This window comes from Homo sapiens, chromosome 6 (assembly GCF_000001405.40).
Source record: "Homo sapiens chromosome 6, GRCh38.p14 Primary Assembly".
Taxonomy (NCBI): Eukaryota; Metazoa; Chordata; class Mammalia; order Primates; family Hominidae; genus Homo; species Homo sapiens.
In genome coordinates, this window is record NC_000006.12 from 31,718,167 (window position 1) to 31,738,017 (window position 19,851).

The following is a 19,851-nucleotide window of genomic DNA, read 5'->3' on the forward strand; positions in this document are numbered from 1 at the left end:
CCTGAGTCTGGGTTTGCTCCCCTATTTCCCATTTGCAAGTTGGCTCCCAATAGGACTATTTTGAATTGAGAAAAGAAATGTAAAAACTGTGATAGGTAAAAACTGCTTGATGCCCTACTTACTAACTAGGCTAGGTGAGGCCTTTGACTCTAACCTGAGAGAAACTGAAGAAACAGGGTCTCAGGCCCCATCTCCATGTACCTCTCCTATCCTTTCTGGAGAGCCCTCAAGCCAGGCCGCACCTTCTTCTTGGCAATACATCAGGGGTGTGGCCTAAATTTAGGATATGAGTTGTTGTGTGCCACCTGGAGACACTGGAAGGGAGGATGAAGACCTGAAAAACCTGTTTCTCCATTTTCCCCAGCCCAGCCTCCCAGGGAACCTCCCTGAAGGATTCCTGTGTAAGGGAGGGAGATTGAGAGTATTATTTCCTGGGAGGTGACCTGACCCTTAGGTCTTCTTATAATAAATGTACATTTTATCAGACTCAGACATTTATTACTCAAAATGGAAAGAGGTGAGTATGGGGGATGGGGTACATATGGGAGCCTGGGTTTGGGGAGTCAGCTCTGTACAGTGAGGTCATCAGGTCCTTGTGGGAGCCTTCACTGGGGACAACACAGAAGCCCCATTTCAGGCCCAGATCCCAATCCCTCCTCAAGTAGGGGACAGCAGAGTATAGGAAGCAAAGTGGGGAGCCCTTCTAGGAGCCAATGGAGGTCCTGGAAGGAAGTGGGAAGGGACCCAGAAAAAGGAGAGTGAAGGGTGTGAGGTGGGAAGGATGGATGAGGAGACCACTCGGAACAGTGTTTAATTAAAGAAATGGGAGCTAGGGAGAGACGATTCTGTAAAGCCAGGGGATACAGAGACACAGGGAGAGAGGCTCAGGCCAAGGCAGGTGGGAGGAGGGGCAGCCAATGGAATGAGTCTCAGTGCAGCAGCCAGAGGCCAAGGCCAGCCAAGGAGGTAAGGAAGACAAGGCCCAGGGCTGGAGTGGGCCGGGGTCCTGCGCTGTTGCAGTTGTCCTTGTTGCAGCAGGTGGTGTTATATGTCAGACCCAGCTTGCGGTTGGTTTGGTTGAAGGCCTCCTGACAGGGCTCTTCTGGTGTGCCACAGCGCAGATTGGAGAAAACCCACATCTTACCTAGGGGTGGGAATGGGCAGGGAATCGGCCAGGATGGGCACCTGGCATGCCTGTGTCCACCTCCCCACCCCATCCACCCACCTAGGCTTCCTTCCTTCCCAACTCTGTCCCTGGCCCTCCCCTTCTCTTTTCTTAGTCTGATCTTCCTTCTGCACATCCTTACCCACCACTCCCCCAGTCCTGGTTCTATCACTTGCTGGCCATGGACCTGTTACTGTCTCTGTTTTTTGTTTTTTTGTTTTTTCCAAGACAGAGTCTCACTCTCGCCCAGGCTGGAGTGCAGTGGTGCCATCTCAGCTCACTGCAACCTCCGCCTCCCAGGTTCAAGCGATTCTCCTGCCTCAGCCTCCCGAGTAGCTGGGATTACAGGCGCCCACTACCATGCCTGGCTAATTTTTGTATATTTAGTAGAAATGGGGTTTCACCATGTTGGCCAGGCTGGTCTTGAACTCCTGACCTCAAGTGATCCAACCACCTTGGCCTCCCAAAGTGCTGGGATTACAGGCATGAGCCACCATGCCCGGCTGTGTTACTGTCTCTTTTTGAGGCCGTTTTCTCAGTATAATAATAGCACCCACATCACAGGGTTGTCATGAACATTAATTGAAAAAAAGGCATGCAAAGACATAGGATGTTGCCTGGCACACAACCATCTTTGGCCAAATATTATCATTGCTATAATCCTCTGCTTCTCCATCTCAGTCTTAGACCCATTTGGGCCTCAGTCCTGGTCATAGAGGCTCCCACCTCCCTGTTCACCCCACTAAGGAAGGGGATGTTACCAAGGTATGCATGTGTTGTCAGGCATTGCTGTCCTGGCTCCAGGCGGCAGGACTGCCGGTCCACACAGCCCAGCACAGGGACCTTGTAGCAGGAGTGACAGCGAATGTCAGCTGGGAAGACACAAGTCAGGCTGAGGTGATGGGGTCTCTGACTTACCTGGGGATAAGCTGAGCTGGGGGCAGGGGTGGAGGGTGGAGAAGAGCCCATCCCGTAGGTGCTCCAACCTGTTTGGCTGTTTGGTCTAGCAAGCACAGAGCAGGTGAGTGATGCAGGGAAAATGGAAAGTGGGCGGCAGGTAAGGGTAGAGCTGTTGCTTTGTGAAAGGCCCACGCCCTACATATCTTCCATCACTCCACCCCGTTTGGAGGTGAGTCAAGAGGGACAGAACTATGAAGAAAAACATGGGGCTGGAGATAGATGGAATGTGAGGAAGATACCATGGGGAAAGAATGTGGATGGTGAAGGAGGAGATGGAAACTTGAAAGAAGGAGAAATAATAAAAATGAAAATCATGAGGGTTACAACACTGTCAGAAATGCCTTGGAACTTGAGGCTGGCGAGAAAGCCATCTGTGGCCAGCTTTAGCAATTTACAATTTACTCTTCACCTCCTGGAGCTGGCAAGAGTGTGGCAAGAGGAACCAGACCTGAATAGAATCCTCTCACCCCAGTAGCTCTTCAGCAGAAAGGAATGATACCTGAGAGACAGATCACCAGATTCCATCTTAGCACCTTATCAAAATGGAGAGGGTGGATACAGAAGGTGGCACCCCAAGTTTCCTGCTTCAGTTAATTCAAGGTTTGGGCAGGCAAGATTTGGTGACGCAGGGTCCGAGGGTGGAAGAGCCTGGTAAGTGTACCTCAGTGAAATCCACTTCACCCTGGAGGTAAGTGGCCCAGTTGTCCCCTCTTCAGAAGGCTCAAGAAAACGCTCTGTTTCCATGGAGGCTCTTAGATGTCACTGCAACCATCTAGAAAGTTTGTATCCCCTGTATGGGAGGAGGTATGCAACCCAGGAGGGGAGTAGGGGGTATCTAGGAAAGGCCATGGCTGAGAGACTGAACATGTGAGTCCCTGATGGAGTAGATGGGGAGGGTAGGTTACAAAAGGAGCCTGGGGCTGGATGCCTAGGTCTTCGAGAGGACACCTTACTGAGCACAGCAGATAGAGGAGAAGGCAGGTAAGCTAGACTCTGGAGAGTTGCATATTGAAGTGGGGCTGGTTGGGGAACTGGATACCAGAGTTTCCAAGGAGGAGACACCTTGGAGTGGGGAACAGGGGACCCAGAGCCCTGGCAGGTGAGAGAAATGGGTCTTTCTTGGAGGTGGGGAGGATGGATGGAGACCTGGCTTTTTGAGAAATAGAGCAAGGAGGCTGTCATAGGGAAGCCTGGTCTTGGTGGCACAGGAGAGCTGAGCCAGTTGGGGCTGGGGGTGTTGGGATCCCGAGTGGTGGGTAGGGCCGGGAAGTGGGTAGAGCAGGGTGTAAAGGTCCTGACCAGGCAAACCAGGTCTTTGGGGCCCCCAGGTGCTCACCTGAGACCCAGCAGAGCAGAACAGACAGGGTGAGCAGCATAAGGGCTTTCATGGCGAGGGTCCTGAGAATGGTGGCAACCACAGCAGCTGATAGAGTAGATTTTCAAGGATCCAGCTCTAGGAGTTGAGTGGCCTTTTTGGAATTTATAAACCCAAAGGCTCCTCCCTTCCCTGCCTCTGGTAGCCCCTCCCTTCTCACTTACTACGCAGCTGACCAGAGAAAAGACAAGGGGTGGGAAGGCACTGAGCAGGACTGAGTGGGGAGTAGGGATGGGAGAGAGGGATGGGGGAAGGCAGGTGCCACTAGTGGCCAATGCCATTGTGGTTCTTGGTTTCAGGCCAAGATGCCCTTCCTGGTCCCCAGCTAAGAGTCCTGCTGCTCAGTCCTCTGAATGAGCATCATCAAAGGCCTCTGTGATTTACAGTGTCCATGGTGGCAGCTTCTGCTGGTTCCTGGAAAATGGACAAAAGGATGTGGCCCAAATTAATTGCTGAATTTGGGTCCCTGGGTCCCTGCTGGGCATTGATAGGGGCATGCTGGTGGAAATTGGGGGAGGAATGGGTCAAATTAATCTCCATTCAGCCCCCACTCGGTCTTTCCAATGCCTGCTCAGCAATAAGTGACTCACTGATGGCTTCTGTGATGCCACAGCAGCAGAGGCAGGGGCTGGGGCTACTCATCCAGGAGAGCCACCACAGGTCTGCTAAGTAGGGCTGCCTCAGGCTCCCATGAAGGTTCTCAGGATGTCACCCGTGCTCCACTTGCGCTTGGTGTGGCCTTGTTGCTCCAGTCCAGCAGCAGCAATTGTCCTAGGTGTGGCTGTGTGCACCTGCTCCAAAGCACCTCCCCAGTCAAAACCTGCCAACTTGGGCAGGGTACCAAGCCAGGAGGAACAGCATGGGCACAGAGAGGTGAGGTAGAAGCTAAAATAAGAATAGAAATAGTAGGCCGGGTGTGGTGGCTCACACCTGTAATCTCAGCACTTTGGGAGGCCGAGGTGGGTGGATCACAAGGTCAAGAGATCGAGACCATCCTGGCCAACATGGTGAAACCCCATCTCTACTGAAAATACAAAAATTAGTCAGGTGTGGTGGCATGCACCTGTAGTTCCAGCTACTCAGGAGGCTGAGACAGGAGACTCACTTGAATCCAGGAGCCGGAGGCTGCAGTGAGTCGAGATTGCACTCCAGCCTGGCCACAGAGCAAGACTCTGACTCAAAAAAAAAAAAAAAAAAAAGAATAGAAATAGTAATAATAATGGCAAGCACTTACATAGTGATCCTATGTATTCTAAGCAGTTTACATGTATTACTTTATTTCGTTATCACAATCCCCTACAAAACAGGAGTTTTTTTTGTTGTTGTTTTTGAGACAGGGTCTGGCTGGCTCTGTCGCCCAGGCTGGAGTGCAATGGCCTGATCACAGTTCACTGCAACCTCGACCTCCTGAGCTCAAGCGATCCTCCCTCCTCAGCCTCCTAAGTAGCTGGGATTACAGGCGCACCTGAAAAGTTAAGCAGGCCAAAGCATTTGTGTAAATGGCCCGAGCACACATTTTAAGTGAGAACCATTTGAAGACTCCGAGTTTGCCTGCGAGGATTCCCAAAGGGATCTGGGCAGCTGGTGGCCCCGCCCCCTCTCTTATCGGAGCCCCCCAGCCCCTCCGTTCTCCCCACGCCTAACTTCCCTCCGGTCCCCCCCCAACCGGCCCCACGCCGCTGATTCGCTCGCAGCTTCTCCTCACCACATCCTAACCATGGCTGTGTTTCTGCAGCTGCTACCGCTGCTGCTCTCGAGGGCCCAAGGGAACCCTGGGGGTAAGCGATCCCTGGGAGAGTTGTGATAGACGCAGAGGGGCTGAAGCAAGATAAGGGCCGCCTAGTAGGGTGGGTTGTGTGTGGGAAGATCCAGGATGGCTGGAGTGCAGAACAGAGAAGAGAAAGAGGAGACGGGATGGAGGGTCGTCTTGCCCTGTGGACGTGCCCTAACCACAGCCTCCGGCCTCTCCTAGCTTCTCTGGACGGCCGCCCTGGGGACCGGGTGAATCTCTCCTGCGGAGGAGTCTCTCATCCCATCCGCTGGGTCTGGGCACCCAGCTTCCCGGCCTGCAAGGGCCTGTCCAAAGGACGCCGACCGATCCTGTGGGCCTCTTCGAGCGGGACCCCCACCGTGCCTCCCCTCCAGCCTTTCGTCGGCCGCCTACGCTCCCTGGACTCTGGTATCCGGCGGCTGGAGCTCCTCTTGAGCGCGGGGGACTCGGGCACTTTTTTCTGCAAGGGCCGCCACGAGGACGAGAGCCGTACAGTGCTTCACGTGCTGGGGGACAGGACCTATTGCAAGGCCCCCGGGCCTACCCATGGTAGGTGCAGGCCTGTGCGCACAAGGGTACTTAACTCCGACACATACCCGGAGGAGGGAAGAGGGCCTTGGCTGGGGGTTCTTGAGCGGGACTGCTGGCTGTCCCTCGTCAAACCCCTGACCTCAGCATCCCTCCCCGCCACGCCTTTCCCCCAGGGTCCGTGTATCCCCAGCTCCTGATCCCGCTGCTGGGCGCTGGGTTGGTGCTCGGACTGGGAGCTTTGGGCCTGGTCTGGTGGCTGCACAGGTGAGCAGGAGGGACCCGGCCTCGTTAAATGGGGAGTGACCAGAGGTGGAAGGGGCAGGACCAGAACCTTCGCAAAAGAAAGAGCTAGACCTAGAGCTCTGGTCCTGGCTTGGCGAAGAATGGGAGAGGTCAAAGGTGGGAGCGAGGCCGCTGACTGGTGAGTAGAGCCCCACCAGAGCAGATGAGCTGGAAGTGCAGCAGAGTTAGAGCCTGGGCTGGACTGTCGGTGGGGTAGAGTCTAAGTTGTTTCCGGTCTGAGCCTTCAAGTTGCTGGGCTGTCCTTGGCGTGGCGAGTCCCAGGAGAACCAGTGAGACAAGACTGGTGGTTCTCAAAGACTCATATGTCCCTTACAGGCGCCTGCCCCCGCAACCGATTCGACCACTCCCTAGATTTGGTGAGACTAATTCCACCCCATTTTCTTTCTCCTACATGCCCACTCCCCACCCCTCAATTCCTGAGTCTGAGCCCTTGCTGGGAGCAGACACGTTGGTCACCTTCTCTCCATCCTTCAGCTCTGTCCCCCCCACATAGCTCCACTTGTGAAAACCGAGCCCCAGAGGCCAGTAAAGGAGGAAGAGCCCAAGATTCCAGGGGACCTGGACCAGGAACCGGTAAGGGCATGGGGATGGGAAGGGGATAGCCAGAATCTCTGAGGAAAATGGACCAAAAAAAAAAAGGCCTGAACCCCAAGGAAGACTGTGGAGACCATCTTGTCTTCCTCCCCTTCCTCCTCCAGAGCCTGCTCTATGCGGATCTGGACCATCTAGCCCTCAGCAGGCCCCGCCGGCTGTCCACAGCGGACCCTGCTGATGCCTCCACCATCTATGCAGTTGTAGTTTGAAGGGAAGCCCTTACTCCAAACCTCCCAAGCTAGGGGATCCCAGCTCCCCATAATCCCTCTCCCCTCCTTGGTTCCTCACCTGGAAGAGGAAGGCACCATGGTATAGAAATAAGTGCTAGACTGGGAGTTGGGAGACCTGGGTTCCAGGCTGTCTCTGCCACTGGTCTTACTTCTAAACTTACTCCCATCTCTCCTATAACCTCCATGTCTCCCTCACCACCAGTGTCCTCTCTATACCCAATCAAGCCCTAGCTCCTTTTTTTTTTTTTTTTGAGACGGAGTCTCGCTCTGTTGCCCAGGCTGGAGTGCAGTGACACCATCTCCCTCACTGCAAGCTCCGCCTGCCGGGTTCACACCATTCTCCTGCCTCAGGCTCCTGAGTAGCTGGGACTACAGGCGCCCGCCACCACGCCCAGCTAATTTTTTGTATTTTTAGTAGAGACGGGGTTTCACTGTGTTAGCCAGGATGGTCTTGATCTGCTAACCTCGTGATCCACCCGCCCCGGCCTCCCAAAGTGCTAGGATTACAGGTGTGAGCCACCGCGCCCGGCCTGATTCTTTAAGCTGTTTTTCTTTGTTGCTGGTGTTTTCTTTTTGGACTCCTCTTCCTTGCTCCATATCCCTACAGTATTTCCCACCATTCTAGGTTTGTCCCTTTCTCTTCTTCTGGGACACTCTCATCAACAGTCAGTCCTCAGCCCCCTCCTCTGCAAATGACACTCAGAACTCTCTCTGGCTCAGATCTCAGATTTGGGATTAACAAACTTCCACTTAGACATTCTGCCTGACTGACCTCAGGCATTTCGCACTCTGAATGTCAAACCCAACTCATTGTCATCTCTGAAGCTGCTCACTTAATTCTCCTCTGTATTCTCTTTAACAACCCAGTTGCCCAACCCAGAAACTGGGAGTCACGCAGACCTCCTTTCTCTCTTACTCCCACACAATGAGCCATGAAGTCCAGTCTTTCTATCTTAACATCACTGTCAAACCCACACTGTATTCCATGCCCAGCGCTGCCACGTGAATGTACTCTGCTCACTTCCTTCCTGGATTACCCATAGCCCCACCTCATCCTCCTACCCTTGCTTTCCTCCCTGAAGTCAGAGAGATCCTACTCAAGAGATAACTGCTCCTGACAGCCCTTATTACAGAACTGAAGTACTCTCCTTAGCTTCAGCTCTGTGCCCACGTGCCTTGGCTTTGGATACAAGGTACTACAGCACTTTGTCCACTCTCCAGGCTTACCTGTGTCATTCCACATGCACATCTTAGAAAATGCCAGCCTTAGAGAATTCTCCCTAGCCCCAAAATGTCTTTGCCCAGTGCAATTCCTTCTTCCTGTATTACCCCTTTCCCTCCTTCACACTATCTGCCTGGCTAATTCTTATTTATCCTTAGTTCAAGTATGGCCTTTTCTGGGAAGGTGACCCTCCTTGGCCACCCCTTGCATATACTTTGATGCCCTAGGGCGCACCCCCTTTATTTCCCTCATAGAAACAGCCTTCTGTAAATTGTTCCATGACAACCTGTATTTCAATTTGTAAGAAATTTGCATGTACTGTGAGCTCCCCAACGTCAGGAGACTGACCCTTTTGATATCATTGCTAAGCCTCATTAAATGAATGAATGAAAATGAATGTCCCTGGAAGTGTCATTTCTTTTTCTTTATCAAATAGGGGTGGACTGGTAATCTACCAGTCTCTGAATCATCTAACATTTAGATAAATTCAGTGAGCAATCCACCCATACACTCTTTTCTCTGCCCTGGACACACTTCCCATGATAGAAATTCTGTCTTGTTCATCTTGTGCTCAAGTACCTATGACATGGTTGGGCAATGAGTTGATAAGTACCTAACAAGATTTTTGAATAAGAGGCCTTCTTCCCTGCACTGACCCCAAACTCAGGTTTCAGCCCTGCCCTATCCCTTTGCCCCAGTAAGACACCAGTCACAGCCCAGTCTAAAAGGTCAATTCTATTTTATTGGTTCTGAGAGGGAGGATTCACCCAGTGGATCCTTTTCCCTACACTCTCCCCTCCCCCAATATTGAGGCTCTCTCCCAACTACTGCCTATTCAGCATTCTCTATCTAACCCTCCTTCCCCTTCTACTTCCTATACTATCCTACCCCTGGCCAGCAGTACCCCAAGGCCAGGCCCTCAGCTGTGGGGGCGTGTGCTGAGCACCAAGCAGAGGGAGCTGAGCCCGGCGCCAGCCTTCTCCAGTTCTGAGCAGGACACAGGTACCAGGGTGACATCAGAGAGCTTCTGCAGTGCCTGCACAGGGAAGACATGGAGTGGGGAGAGGGGAGTGAGACCTCAGGCTGAGCCAGGCCACTCTTCCAGCCAGCTCAGAGTGGCCCCACCCAGGCTTCTAGAGAAGGTACCCTTCCTTCCTCCCACTAGGAAAGCCTGAAACTCTTTTCTCTGATGGTGCTTGGTGTTGGAGTTCCTGCCCTCTCTCACCTCCTGGCTGTTGGGCAGATCCCCACCTCCACGGTGCAGGAGGAAAGGGGGCACACCAGGCAACCCAGGACGAAGAAAGAGACAGTCAGCAGCTGCGTCATCTGGGAGGGTCAGGGAGGCATATGGGTGATCTGTCAGCACTGCCATTGCCTAGAGGAAAGAGGAAGTGTTCGAGTCTCAGAACCTCTCCACAGCTGTGTCTGCCTGCTCAACCACCACTAAGGGCTGGGGACGGACTGACATTTGTGGAAAATAATGACAGCAAGCACATAGAGCTTACGATATGTCAGACACTAAGTACTTTAGTTACCTTTGCTAATTTCCACCTTGGAATCACATGCAGTTATTTTCAACCCCCTACCTTCCCCAGCCCCTCCTATCTGTCCTACCCATCCTTAGAGTCACAGTTTAGGTGCCACCTTTGGGGTTTCCTGAAACTCCGGAAGAGCAAATTAATCACCCCTGTTCCCAGTCCTGCTGTTGTAACTTCTTATTTTCTCCTGTGTTCTTTCATGTAAGATGGACAGCCCATTGAGGGCAGGGGTTAGGGCTAATTTCCTAAGCCTCCCAGCTCCCGGCCTCCCGGGCCCAGAACTGCGCCCACTTTCGTTGGCCCCGCCCCCTCCTCACCCGGACAGCCTTTTGGGCAGCGTCGCTGCTGCCTGCCACAACAGTGCGAGGTCCCCCCATGCCGCAGAGACCGCGCAGGTGGGAGGGACCCGAGACTGGCACAGTGGAGACGGCGAAGTCCTAGGGAGAGCGAAGGGAGGTATTCAGGGGCGCGGGAGGGGTGATGGGGTATCTTCAAACATAGGCTGCTCTCTGCCTCTCATTTCCTCAGCGGGCGCCCAGGCCCTTCCGACCCCCACCTGCACCCCCTCCCTCCCTAGGCTGGTCCCGCTCCGCACCCGGAACGTGTCCGCCACGATCTCAGCTCCTCGGTGATTGGTCCATTTGGAGAGGCCTACGAAAAACTCCCGGCCTGAGTCCGGGAGGCCGCGGAGGTTTGAGGGCGGGAGTGAGTTAGAAACAAGGCTCCAGACGGCCGAGTCTCCCAAACTCTACTTCCCTGTGCCAAGACCTATGCCTCCCCCCAGCCTCACCGGTGAAGAGAACGTCAGTGCCATCCAGCGTCGCGTTCTCGTCTCCTATTTCCACAATTCGGAGCCCCAGGTCTTGCAGGGCTTTGCGGACTCCATCGACCTTAGGATAGGAGAAGAGGGCACGGAGCTGTGACACCCCCATCCTCAATTCTTCCCCAAAGCCCCGACATCCAGTTCCTTCTGCCTTTCCCCATACCACACCCGCGCCACGGCGCTCACCTCTGGCCTACGAGCGGGGCTCCAGGGCCGCGTGATTAGGGCCGTGTCCCCTTGGATCACGGCCGTGTCGCCAAGCAGCGGTCCCAGCGGCAATGACTCCTCAGGTGGCAGTTCTAGCAGCTGTAGCCCCAGTCGTTGCCTCAGTTTACCTCCCAGCACCCCGTGCTCCCTTTGAGCTTTGGCCAGATCCAGAGCGGGAAGGCCAGCCCCCGCACCTTCCCCCGACGCCAGGCTCTCTGGGACTCCCCGGATCAGGGCATGGGAGCAGCGGCCCAGCCCCTCCCCCGGCGTCCCCATCCCATCCACACAGACTCCCCCTCCAACCGCTCGGATTTCTTAGTTTTCTTGTTTCTTCACCTGTCTGGGAGAAGAAACAGAAAAGGAGGAGACAGAGAAAAAGACATGCAGACAAGGGCGTTGGGGGTGGTTAAGAGCGCCCAGGTCTTCCTCCTGCCATCTCTAGGCGTCCCTCCCACTCCGCCCCACCCACTCCAGACCTTCCGCTCCTGTCGACCTCACTCTACCCAGCACCCTCAGGGGTCAGATTCTTTAAGAGGAGCCTGAGGAACAAGGCTAGGGTCTCTAATCTCCAAAACACCTGTTGCCCCTGCTTGGGGGCTTGTGAGGTCCCTGTCGGGCGCCCCTCTTGGCAGCCACTAGGATGCGCTCACTCCCCAAAAATGCAGCAGCCCCGCCCCCTTAACCCTCAGCTGCTCGCTACCGCAGGGACTGGAAGTCCAGCCCGCGACCCGCAGGGGTTATGGGACAGAAGGAGAAAGCTGGAGAGGCAGGGGCTGGGGAATGGAAGTCCTGAATACCCGAACGAGAAGGGAGAGAGGTGGGTAGGAAGGGAGGAGTTCGAGCCTAAGGAGTTAAGCATCCTCTCTCCGCCCTGGCTGGTCACGCTGCCCCTAGCGCGACCTAGTATAAACCAGACCGAGTCCCGAAGGACTGGGAGAGGTCTAAAACGAAATGCGAGGGGCGGGGTAACAGGGGGCGTGGTTCCGGGGCGCTGGCACTACTCCCGGCTCCAGGACCCGGTTCCCCGTCTATGTCCCAAAGTCCACCCCGCCTAGCTCCGCGCCCAAATACCGGCTCCCCATACTCTCTGTCTGGTGCAGGCATGGGCCCGGCACCCCCAAACTCCGGCCCCCACACGGTTCAGGGCCCCCCACGCAAGACTCACCTCCAGCGGCCACCCCCACTCCTGTCGCGCTGTGATCTCGGCTGGGGCCCCACCCCCCGAGGACAGAGTTGGTGGAGAAGGGAGTCCCCGTCTTCAAGCCTCGGGGACTGGGAGCTCTGGCTTTTAGCGCGGGTCCTTGTGTAGGCGAGCTCATATACTACGATGGGGCAGGGGCGCGACGGTCTGGCGGCTCCGGGGCATTGTCTAAGCGGGACGGGGCGGGGCTTCTTCGGGCCACGCCCATTCCGCCCTGCTAAGCCTCGCCCATTACATCCAGACTGCGCCCCCCTTGCCAGAAATCGGCACCGCCCAGCGAGCGCTGCCCAGGCCCACCCAGATCTGGCCGGCCCTGGCGACGGGGCTGCAAACGCTTCGTAGACCTCAGAACAGCGCAACGGCGGACCGGCGGACCGGCACGAAACATAGCAGCCCCACCACAAACATTTCCCTTCTTAATTCCTGGCTTCTGCCCTGAGCTCAAGATCACTGACCCACCCCTCATTCCATGTCGCCCACACTTTAAATCCCCATTGCGTAAAAACACTTGATTTTTATTCTGTATTTTATTACTGAAATATGTTGTCCTACTCATCCCACCCCACAATAAAAATCTGACCCAGGCCCCCCATTTCTTTCCCTCATCCCCTCTTCCACCACACCATCCCGGAACAAGTGCTCCAGGATTCCCTGCCCACTGGCCATTTTGGAGTGTGTCCATTGGGTAGCAATGTGGAAACCACCAGGGCCTTTGTGGAGAAAATGGAGGGGGTTGAGGGAGTCCCAGGAGGGGCTTATTTGAGGGCCTTTGCCACTTGCTCATAGGCGAGCTCGATCTCCTCATCATCTGGACAGGTGGAAGCGAATTCTTCCCGGGCGTAGGCATTGCTCAAGTACCGATGCACTCCCCGGAAGGCCTCGGGGATGGTGAATCCCCGGTACTTCTTACACACCACCTGAGGATGGGGAGAGGAGAGGGACCAACATGTTAGACCCAGGGAAGCCACCTTGGCTTTCCCTTCTCCCCAGGCCGACATGATAAAACCAGCTCAACTCCTCACTGTCTTGTACTGTCGTTAGCCTTCCTTCTCACTTACTGAAATCCTGGCTTTTAATAACCAGCCATTTTTCCTGAGTTTTTAAAACTTGAGATATAATTTACTTATAAAATTCTCCTCTTGAATTTCCACAGTGACTTTTTCCCCCTATACCACTTCAGGCACTGACACAGGTGACTTTTGTCTCTATATTTTTCATCAGACTTTTTTTTTTTTGAGATGGAGTCTTGCTGTCACCCAGGCTGGAGTGCAATGGCGCGATCTTGGCTCACTGCAACCTCCGCCTCCCGGGTTCAAGTGATTCTCCTGCCTCAGCCTCCCAAATAGCTGTGATTACAGGTGCCCACCACCATGTGCGGCTAATTTTTGTAATTTTAGTAGAGATGGGGTTTCACCATGTTGGCCAGGCTGGTCTCGAACTCCTAACCTCAGGTGGTCCACCAGCCTTGGCCGCCCAAAGTGTTGGGATTATAGGCGTGAGCCACCACGCCCGGCCCATCTGACTTTTCATCATATATTCTTAACTTTCATGTGAATATTTTATTGTCTCAGATTTCAACCCTTTGAGAGCAAGGCCCAGTCACCATACACTTGTGTATCTTTCAATGCTTAGTACACAGATGTTCACTACATAGTTGTGTGGCAGACTGATGTCAGGCCCATGTTGCACAAACTAAACCATAGCTTTGAGACTATGACAAAAACATGGGAACCAGCAGTTTTGATCTTCCACAAGAGGAAGTGAAGACTGAAGTTATAAAGAAAGTTAAAGCTTTGACTTTAGGAAAAGCCTGCTCTGTCTAATCTGGGAATTTGGCAGTGATACCGAGACAGGAAGAGCATTCTTCAAAAGTAATACTGGGATGTATTCCTCTTTGCTAGTCTGTTTGCACCCATGACTTACATCATGGAATATAATTATCTCAAGCAGTGGTCTTGTTAGCAATGACTGCTGCAAAGGACTGGGGTGGGGTCTGCCATTGGTAGCAATTTATGAAAACCACCCTAAGAAAGAAATCGTCTTTAGAGTGGTTGTCAGGGGAAGCCCATGTGGGAGCTCCTTAAAGGGCCACTCCAGTGGTCATCCTCTCCTCCCGCAATAACCACACACCTGTACTATGTGTAACTTTGGCAACAGGTTGCAGTCAGCCAGGGTGAGCTCGTTGCCATCCAAAAACTTCCTCTGAGAGACACCTTCATCTTCAGCACTGGTTTCATCCACTTCTTCTGGGAGGGGGGATGTTAAGTAATTGTCTAAAACCTTCAGGGCTTTCAGGAGTCCCTTCTCCAGATCTGTGCAAGAGAGGGAACTGATTAGAACTTCAGGAAAAGATTGACATAGTCCGAAAAGGCCCGTTGGGGGTGGATACTAATGGTGAGTCCAAAATAATAATAGCTAACACTCATGTAGTTACTTTTCTATGTGTTATTCTAAGCACTTTACATTTTATTTTATGTTAGACGGAGTCTTGCTCCGTTGCCCAGGCTGGAGTGCAGTGGCATGATCCCGGCTCACTGCAACCTCTGCCTCCTAGATTCAAATGATTCTCCTGCCTCAGCCTCCTGAGTAGCTGGGATTACAGGTGCCTGCCACCACAACTGGCTAATTTTTGTATTTTTTTCAGTAGAGACCAGTCATGTTGGCCAGGCTGGTCTCCAACTCCTAACCTCAGGTGGTGCGCTAGCCTCGGCCTCCCAAAGTGAACACTTTACATTTTACAAACTCATTTATATCGCCGGGTGCAGTGGCTCACTCCTGTAATCCCAGCACTTTGGGAGGCCGAGGCAGGTGGATCACCTGAGGTCGGGAGTTCAAGACCAGCCTGGCCAACATGGTGAAACCCTGTCTCTACTAAAAATACAAAAATTAGCTGGGCGTGGTGATGCACGTCTGTAATCCCAGCTACTCAGGAGGCTGAGGCAGGAGAATTGCTTGAACCCGGCAGGCAGAGGTTGCAGTGAGCTGATTGCACCACTGCACTCCAGCCTGGGCGACAGAACGAGACTCCATCTCAAAAAAAAAGAAAAAAAAAAATTTATATCAACCCATGAAATAGGTATTGTCATCCTAATTTTGTGGATCTGGAAATGGACTTACAGAGAGGTGAAATGATTGCTCAAAATTATACGGCTAGTTGGATTTGTACTCAGGTAGTCTGGATCTAGAGTGATGACTGTTCTTAAGCATGACCCTATTCTGCCAGAAAACAGGCCAGCAGCCAACTAACGTCCTCAGTGGGGCAGAAGAGGCTAGGGAACAAATGAGAAAAGCTTAAAAGTCTTGGCCAATGAAAATGCAGGGAAATATAGAGGTAAAGCAAAAATGGGAAGCTGGGGGAAATTTACGAACATCTGCTTCATCTCCCTGATATCTGAACGTCCAGGTGCCCCTAATGTCTCCTACCCGCTGGGTCCTCTCTATTCCTCCCAGGACCCAGGCCTCTGACCCACAAGACTCACTGTCATTGAGTGCTGGGTTTGAATTCTTGATGTAGGCAGAAAATTTGGCAAATATGTCCAGCCCAGCTGTGTTGGACTCAGGGTTCAGAGCTGCCAGCTTGGGGTACCTGAAAGCCAATGGGAAAAATGAGGTAAGATGTCTTCCTGGGAGGAACCTCAGCTAGCTCTCCTGCCCCAGCCCCACCACCATCTCTGTTTTCCATTTCTGCAAACTGTCTGTTTCCCAGAATCTCCCTGCTCCACCTCTCCACTTTCTGAGTGCCCCTATACCTGGGAGGGCACAGCACTGCCTCCAGAAATTCCTCAATCTTGTTGGTGTCTGTGTGCACTTCAGTGCCATACAGCAGGAATGGGAGCTGCCCCCCTGGGCACAGCTTCTGCACTGTCTCGGTCCGCCTGGAGAAAGGATCAGGAATCAGGACTGGAAATGGGGGTCAGGAAGAACCAGAAAGGGGGAATGGAGGACGTGGGATAAGAAAGGGACTCCAGGGGGAGGGCAAAAATGTTCATGACAGAAGGACTCGGGTGGGTGTGTGTTTGCACACATGTGTACACCAGGGGTGTTTCAAGGAACATAAGCAGGCCTACCTTTTGGTGTCAACGGTGGTAACATTGAAGGTGACTCCCTTGAGCCACAGTACCATGAACAGTCTCTGGGAGAATGGGCAGTTCCCAATCTTGGCCCCATCACTGCCAGCCTGAAAAGTAACCCCAACCCAAGGTTATGCCTGATGCACCCCACCCATCCCTAGGCCAGTCCCTGCATTCCCACTCCCAGACCAGCTGTTTTCTGCCTAGTCATGACACATACACTGTCCCCTCACTATGGGCTCTTTGCCCTTGGGCCTGGGTCAAACCTAAGGCAGATCAATGGGAAACTGTTTTGCAAAGGCAGGCTTCTGGTTCCCCAGACACTGAGGACAGGTGGGAGGTAGGTAGAGGGAGGAGGTCCTGGAGAACTTGGGAGGATCTGAATCCTAGAGAGGGAAGGGTGTGGAACTTCAGTGAGGCCAGAGTTGTAGGCTAGAAGCCTGGATTTCTGGGTTCCTGAAGGGAGTAGAGTCTGAAGACAGGAGAGGTGGGTGGGGTTTGGGAGCCAGAGTTTTGGTTCTCTACACCTCCAATCCAAGGTGTCTTTGGGTGGGGAGTCTAGTCAAGGGGCCCTGGGCCTCGCGCTAGAGATGTGGAGGGCCCTACAGAGAGGGGCTGCCCTCTAATTAGCAAGTGGTGACCTCATTGGCCCAAGGGACACCTCCCCCTAAGCTGAGGGTGATTCATCTCTCTGTCTCCGGCTTCCTTCCTGTCAAGGATGTGGGGGAAGGGACAGTGAGGATGAGGCCTGGGCAGCTAAGGCTACCCCTAACCTGCTGCCAGGGTCTCCCAGCACAAGTCCTCTGACTGCAATAACCATCCTCTCACAGGACACAGGGCCGGAATCTCTGCGGCACAGCCTCACCCACGAGTAAAAATAGCCCCGGAGGCGAATGTGAGAGTGAGGTGGGGACCACACCTAAGGGGGCGGACCCAAGCAGGCTCCGACTTCCCTGGGCCCAGGGAGAGGGAATGGCTGCCCGAGAAACCCAAGCAGAAGGGAGAGGGAGACACAGGCAGAGACACACAAAGATGAGAGAAACAAAAGGGGGGAAGGGGAAAGAAAGGCGGCAGGAAAGTGGAGAGTGGGGAGACGTGCGTGCCAACGGAGAGACACAAACGGAGCGGGGAGAAGAGGACACTGTTAAGGAAGGGAGGGAGGGGCACAGCCAGGAGGTCCCAAGACTGGGAAATGAATGCAGCAGCGGTAGGGAGGGGAGCGGCCGCTGCAATCAGAGGGGGGCTGGGTGACACCGAGAAGCCTGCTGCCTGCAGTTTTGCTACCCAAATGCCATAGGACCATCTCTCCTTACCCACACCCGCAGAGAGAGGAGAGAGTTGGGGCAAGTCTTCTACTTCTCCAACCCCCAAATCCCAAAATGCCCTAACCGAGCTCTTCTCCTCCGTCTGATCTCTCTCCCACCCATCCTTGTGGTAGCTACGTTAAACTCACGTCTTCTTGCCACCTCCCCTTCTGTCCCTTTCCCCAGTCCTGGGGATATTCAATGCCACCCGATCACCTCTCCAGCTCTGCTTTTCAAACTCCGATCCCAGTCTCCTGTTTTGTTCCGCCCCTCCAAAGCTTCCCAATTTACTTGCTCTCACTCTCAGGCCTCCCTCAACACACCGTCTTCCCTGAAGCGTCTCCATCCACACACACACACACACACACACACACACACACACACACACACCTCTCCTACTGCACTACTCACCCTCAGATCTTGTAGGGACACATGTCCTAACTGAGGTTCCCCTCTGTCCCTTCTAAACCCTGCTGGGCCCCCACTGTCCCTTCACCAGCTCGCCCTCTAACCCCACCCCAGTCTCACTTTTGGGAATTCTCCTTTTTCTCCACTTCCCTTCCTTTAGTCTGCTAGAAACTTGCACTTTTACAAACTTTTCAGGGTTGATCCTAGAATTCTCATTACTTGCTAACAAGTTAATGTCTTCCCCTCTCAAAACCACCCCTCAACCAAAGAGTGCACGTGGGATTGGGGGTGGGAGTCAAGGAGGGAAGGGATTGGGGAGTTAAGGCTGGACCGGGGGAAAGGTGAGAGTTGGCTTCCAGGAATTTGGGTGGCTGAGGAGAGAAGTGTTCTTACCTTCACGAACAATTCGACCTGCGGTTGTTCTTCAGCCATGGTTGCGTCGGGGACCAGGAAGTGGCCGTCCCTGGGGGAACTGGGAGGGGCTGGGACCGGGGAAGGCGGGTCTCACACTCAGGGACTCTCTCCCCTAGACCCAGGGCTGTCCCTTCAGCACAACACAAGCTCAATCAGACCTACTTGCACCCAAACTAGGCCTCCCCACCAGCCCAACGCACCCCACACCCAGCTCCTCCAGCTCGGTCCTCTCCCGGGCTGGATCAGAGAGCCGCTGACTCACCGACCGGCCCCGCCCTGAACCTGGGGAGGGGACTGGAGGGGGGCGGGACTCGACGATGTAGGGAGTGAGTCCGGAAGGGGAATCCTCGGATCTCCCACAGGATGGGGATGGGGGTGTTAAGGAGGAGTCCTGAAAACCTCCTTGTTTCTCCGACCTCTCCTGAACACAGGACTCTTTTCTGCCTCAGTTTCCCTGCTTCATTAATCTGAGTACAACCCGACTGACCCTCATATAAAAAACTTGACACTAACAGCTTGGGCACACCCGTGAAGATTCAGGGATGGGGACTTCAAATGGAAAGGTGGTCGTTTAATCATTCTGCATTTCTTCCAGACTCCAATCCAAATTCTGGGTTGCTGGGACTGTGGTCTGAGAGAAGAACTCGGAAGTGGAAGGCTGGGACTGCAGATAGGAACCGTTAGCCATGCAGCCTGGGATTAGGGAAGGGGTGACGCCAGCACTCCCTGAGCTGCCCAGACTGGTGTCTCAGTAGGTCCTGTGCCCCCCGCAGTCTACTGTCTCCGGGCCCAGCTCAGCACTAGGACTTGCAGTCCTTGTGGCCTACACTTGGGATTGGGCATAGGAAATAGAGTTAGGGGCCGGGTGAGGTGGCTCACGCCTGTAATCCCAACACTTTAGGAGGCCAAGGGGGGTGGATCACCTGAGGTCAGGGAGTCAAGACCAGACTGGCCAACATGGTGAAACCCTGTCTCTACTAAAAATACAAAAATTTGCCAGGCGGGGTGGTGGGCACCTGTAATCCCAGCTACTTGGGAGGCTGAGGCAGGAGAATCAATTGAACCCGGGAGGTGAAGGTTGCAGTGAGCTGAGATGGTGCCATTGCACTCCAGCCTGGGCAATAAGAGCGAAACTCCATCTCAAAAAAAAAAAAAAAAAAAGAAGAAGAAGAAAAGAAAAAGAAAGTAGAGTTAGGGATGGGAAGGGAGATGACGAAGTCTTTTGCGAAGGAAACATAAAGCCGAGGCAAGGGGCTTTGTTGCAGGGAGGGGTCTGTTCCTGTAGCTTGGTCAGCTTTGTGCTTCCACTTATGTTTCCTATTGGGGCCCCTTCCTGTGCCCTTTGTCCTCGTCTCACTGACAGGTTGCCTTGGAGATGGGGCAGAGGGGTGGGATTATCATGGCCCGATCCTGAAGTATGTGTATAGGGGGTGGGGTAGGGGTGTTGTTAGCTGGTCCTGTCATGGGGATAAAGAAAGATCAGACAGAATAGTGGGAGTAGAGTCCTTGGGGACACCTAAATAAATAAGCAGGGAGGACATAGGAGGAGCAGCTCTCTCTCCAGTAACCTTGATTTCTATTAAACCTTTATGACCTGCTGAAAAAATAAACCCAGAATTCCAGCCTCCATATCCTGAATTTCTCTCCTGTCCAACCATCCCTTCTCTATCCTCCTCATCACCCTCTGTCCAACAAAAGACCTACAGTTCCAGAAAACCATGGTGGAGTGCAAGAA

At 53.6% G+C, this 19,851-nt stretch overlaps 4 protein-coding genes across 15 annotated transcripts, besides 3 other annotated features; 1 reads left to right on the forward strand and 3 right to left on the reverse strand.

Annotated features, from left to right (window-relative positions):
• Window positions 482-3,580, reverse strand: LY6G6C (lymphocyte antigen 6 family member G6C). The gene is made up of 3 exons (NM_025261.3): window positions 3,462-3,580; window positions 1,927-2,037; window positions 482-1,144 (listed from the first exon to the last, which is right to left on the reverse strand). Exons 1-3 carry the CDS (start codon window positions 3,511-3,513, stop codon window positions 930-932), a joined length of 378 nt encoding a protein of 125 aa, NP_079537.1. The 5' UTR covers window positions 3,514-3,580; the 3' UTR covers window positions 482-929.
• On the forward strand, window positions 2,130-8,548 carry MPIG6B (megakaryocyte and platelet inhibitory receptor G6b). Of its 7 annotated transcripts, none has more exons than NM_025260.4 (6): window positions 5,207-5,278; window positions 5,473-5,820; window positions 5,976-6,066; window positions 6,421-6,461; window positions 6,580-6,678; window positions 6,804-8,548. In NM_025260.4, exons 1-6 carry the CDS (start codon window positions 5,218-5,220, stop codon window positions 6,875-6,877), a joined length of 714 nt encoding a protein of 237 aa, NP_079536.2. In that variant the 5' UTR covers window positions 5,207-5,217; the 3' UTR covers window positions 6,878-8,548. The 7 variants fall into 7 exon arrangements, with proteins under 7 accessions (XP_016866822.1, NP_079536.2, NP_612116.1 ...); NM_138272.3 differs by having other exon boundaries at window positions 6,599-6,678; NM_138277.3 differs by having other exon boundaries at window positions 6,580-8,548.
• DDAH2 (DDAH family member 2, ADMA-independent) lies at window positions 8,874-12,097 on the reverse strand. 4 transcript variants are annotated; one of them, NM_013974.3, is made up of 7 exons: window positions 11,885-12,097; window positions 10,699-11,059; window positions 10,480-10,579; window positions 10,285-10,358; window positions 10,007-10,126; window positions 9,377-9,526; window positions 8,874-9,187 (listed from the first exon to the last, which is right to left on the reverse strand). In NM_013974.3, the coding sequence occupies exons 2-7, from the start codon at window positions 10,993-10,995 to the stop codon at window positions 9,071-9,073; spliced, it is 858 nt and encodes a 285-aa protein (NP_039268.1). In that variant the 5' UTR covers window positions 10,996-11,059; window positions 11,885-12,097; the 3' UTR covers window positions 8,874-9,070. The 4 variants fall into 4 exon arrangements, with proteins under 4 accessions (NP_039268.1, XP_011512750.1, NP_001289937.1 ...); XM_011514448.3 differs by lacking the exon at window positions 11,885-12,097 and adding an exon at window positions 11,517-11,633; NM_001303008.2 differs by lacking the exon at window positions 11,885-12,097 and adding an exon at window positions 11,196-11,349.
• Window positions 12,098-12,414: 317 nt separating this feature from the next.
• On the reverse strand, window positions 12,415-19,152 carry CLIC1 (chloride intracellular channel 1). Of its 3 annotated transcripts, none has more exons than NM_001287593.1 (7): window positions 18,630-19,152; window positions 18,096-18,184; window positions 15,988-16,097; window positions 15,670-15,795; window positions 15,400-15,506; window positions 14,051-14,232; window positions 12,415-12,837 (listed from the first exon to the last, which is right to left on the reverse strand). In NM_001287593.1, the coding sequence occupies exons 2-7, from the start codon at window positions 18,132-18,134 to the stop codon at window positions 12,676-12,678; spliced, it is 726 nt and encodes a 241-aa protein (NP_001274522.1). In that variant the 5' UTR covers window positions 18,135-18,184; window positions 18,630-19,152; the 3' UTR covers window positions 12,415-12,675. The 3 variants fall into 3 exon arrangements, with proteins under 3 accessions (NP_001274522.1, NP_001274523.1, NP_001279.2); NM_001287594.3 differs by lacking the exon at window positions 18,630-19,152 and adding an exon at window positions 18,317-18,364; NM_001288.6 differs by lacking the exon at window positions 18,630-19,152 and having other exon boundaries at window positions 12,433-12,837; window positions 18,096-18,364.
• Window positions 15,672-16,871: an enhancer, noted in NCBI's record as "MED14-independent group 3 enhancer chr6:31701615-31702814 (GRCh37/hg19 assembly coordinates)". NCBI's record gives its function as "activates an origin of replication core promoter dependent on BRD2, BRD4, P300/CBP and CDK7 cofactors, and independent of MED14, by STARR-seq in HCT116 cells {active_cell/tissue: HCT116}" and the evidence as "EXISTENCE:reporter gene assay evidence [ECO:0000049][PMID:35650434]".
• Window positions 16,546-16,840: an enhancer, noted in NCBI's record as "tiled region #5872; HepG2 Activating DNase unmatched - State 1:Tss, and K562 Activating DNase matched - State 25:Art". NCBI's record gives its function as "activates a minimal TATA promoter and a strong SV40 promoter by Sharpr-MPRA in HepG2 and K562 cells {active_cell/tissue: HepG2 | K562}" and the evidence as "EXISTENCE:reporter gene assay evidence [ECO:0000049][PMID:27701403]".
• Window positions 18,565-19,439: an enhancer, noted in NCBI's record as "H3K27ac-H3K4me1 hESC enhancer chr6:31704508-31705382 (GRCh37/hg19 assembly coordinates)". NCBI's record gives its function as "activates a minimal SCP1, AML or CMV promoter by ChIP-STARR-seq in naive H9 embryonic stem cells {active_cell/tissue: H9 hESC(naive)}" and the evidence as "EXISTENCE:reporter gene assay evidence [ECO:0000049][PMID:30033119]".

Bases quoted from the DNA above. Each gene is read 5' to 3' on its own strand.
- LY6G6C (NM_025261.3), bottom strand. From the start codon at position 3,513: ATGAAAGCCCTTATGCTGCTCACCCTGTCTGTTCTGCTCTGCTGGGTC. The intron at 2,038-3,461 runs GTGAGCACCTGG...GTGTCTTCCCAG, and splicing joins TCTGCTCTGCTGGGTCTCAG to CTGACATTCGCTGTCACTCC. The intron at 1,145-1,926 runs GTAACATCCCCT...TCCCACCCCTAG, and splicing joins GACAACACATGCATACCTTG to GTAAGATGTGGGTTTTCTCC.
- MPIG6B (NM_138272.3), top strand. From the start codon at position 5,218: ATGGCTGTGTTTCTGCAGCTGCTACCGCTGCTGCTCTCGAGGGCCCAA. The intron at 6,067-6,420 runs GTGAGCAGGAGG...TGTCCCTTACAG, and splicing joins CTGGTCTGGTGGCTGCACAG to GCGCCTGCCCCCGCAACCGA. The intron at 6,679-6,803 runs GTAAGGGCATGG...TTCCTCCTCCAG, and splicing joins GGGACCTGGACCAGGAACCG to AGCCTGCTCTATGCGGATCT.
- DDAH2 (NM_013974.3), bottom strand. From the start codon at position 10,995: ATGGGGACGCCGGGGGAGGGGCTGGGCCGCTGCTCCCATGCCCTGATC. The intron at 10,580-10,698 runs GTGAGCGCCGTG...TCCTATCCTAAG, and splicing joins GCCCCGCTCGTAGGCCAGAG to GTCGATGGAGTCCGCAAAGC. The intron at 9,527-10,006 runs GTGAGGAGGGGG...TCTTTCCTCTAG, and splicing joins CTGCCCAAAAGGCTGTCCGG to GCAATGGCAGTGCTGACAGA.
- CLIC1 (NM_001287593.1), bottom strand. From the start codon at position 18,134: ATGGCTGAAGAACAACCGCAGGTCGAATTGTTCGTGAAG. The intron at 15,796-15,987 runs GTAGGCCTGCTT...TCCTTTCTCCAG, and splicing joins ACCACCGTTGACACCAAAAG to GCGGACCGAGACAGTGCAGA. The intron at 15,507-15,669 runs GTATAGGGGCAC...ATTGGCTTTCAG, and splicing joins GCAGTGCTGTGCCCTCCCAG to GTACCCCAAGCTGGCAGCTC.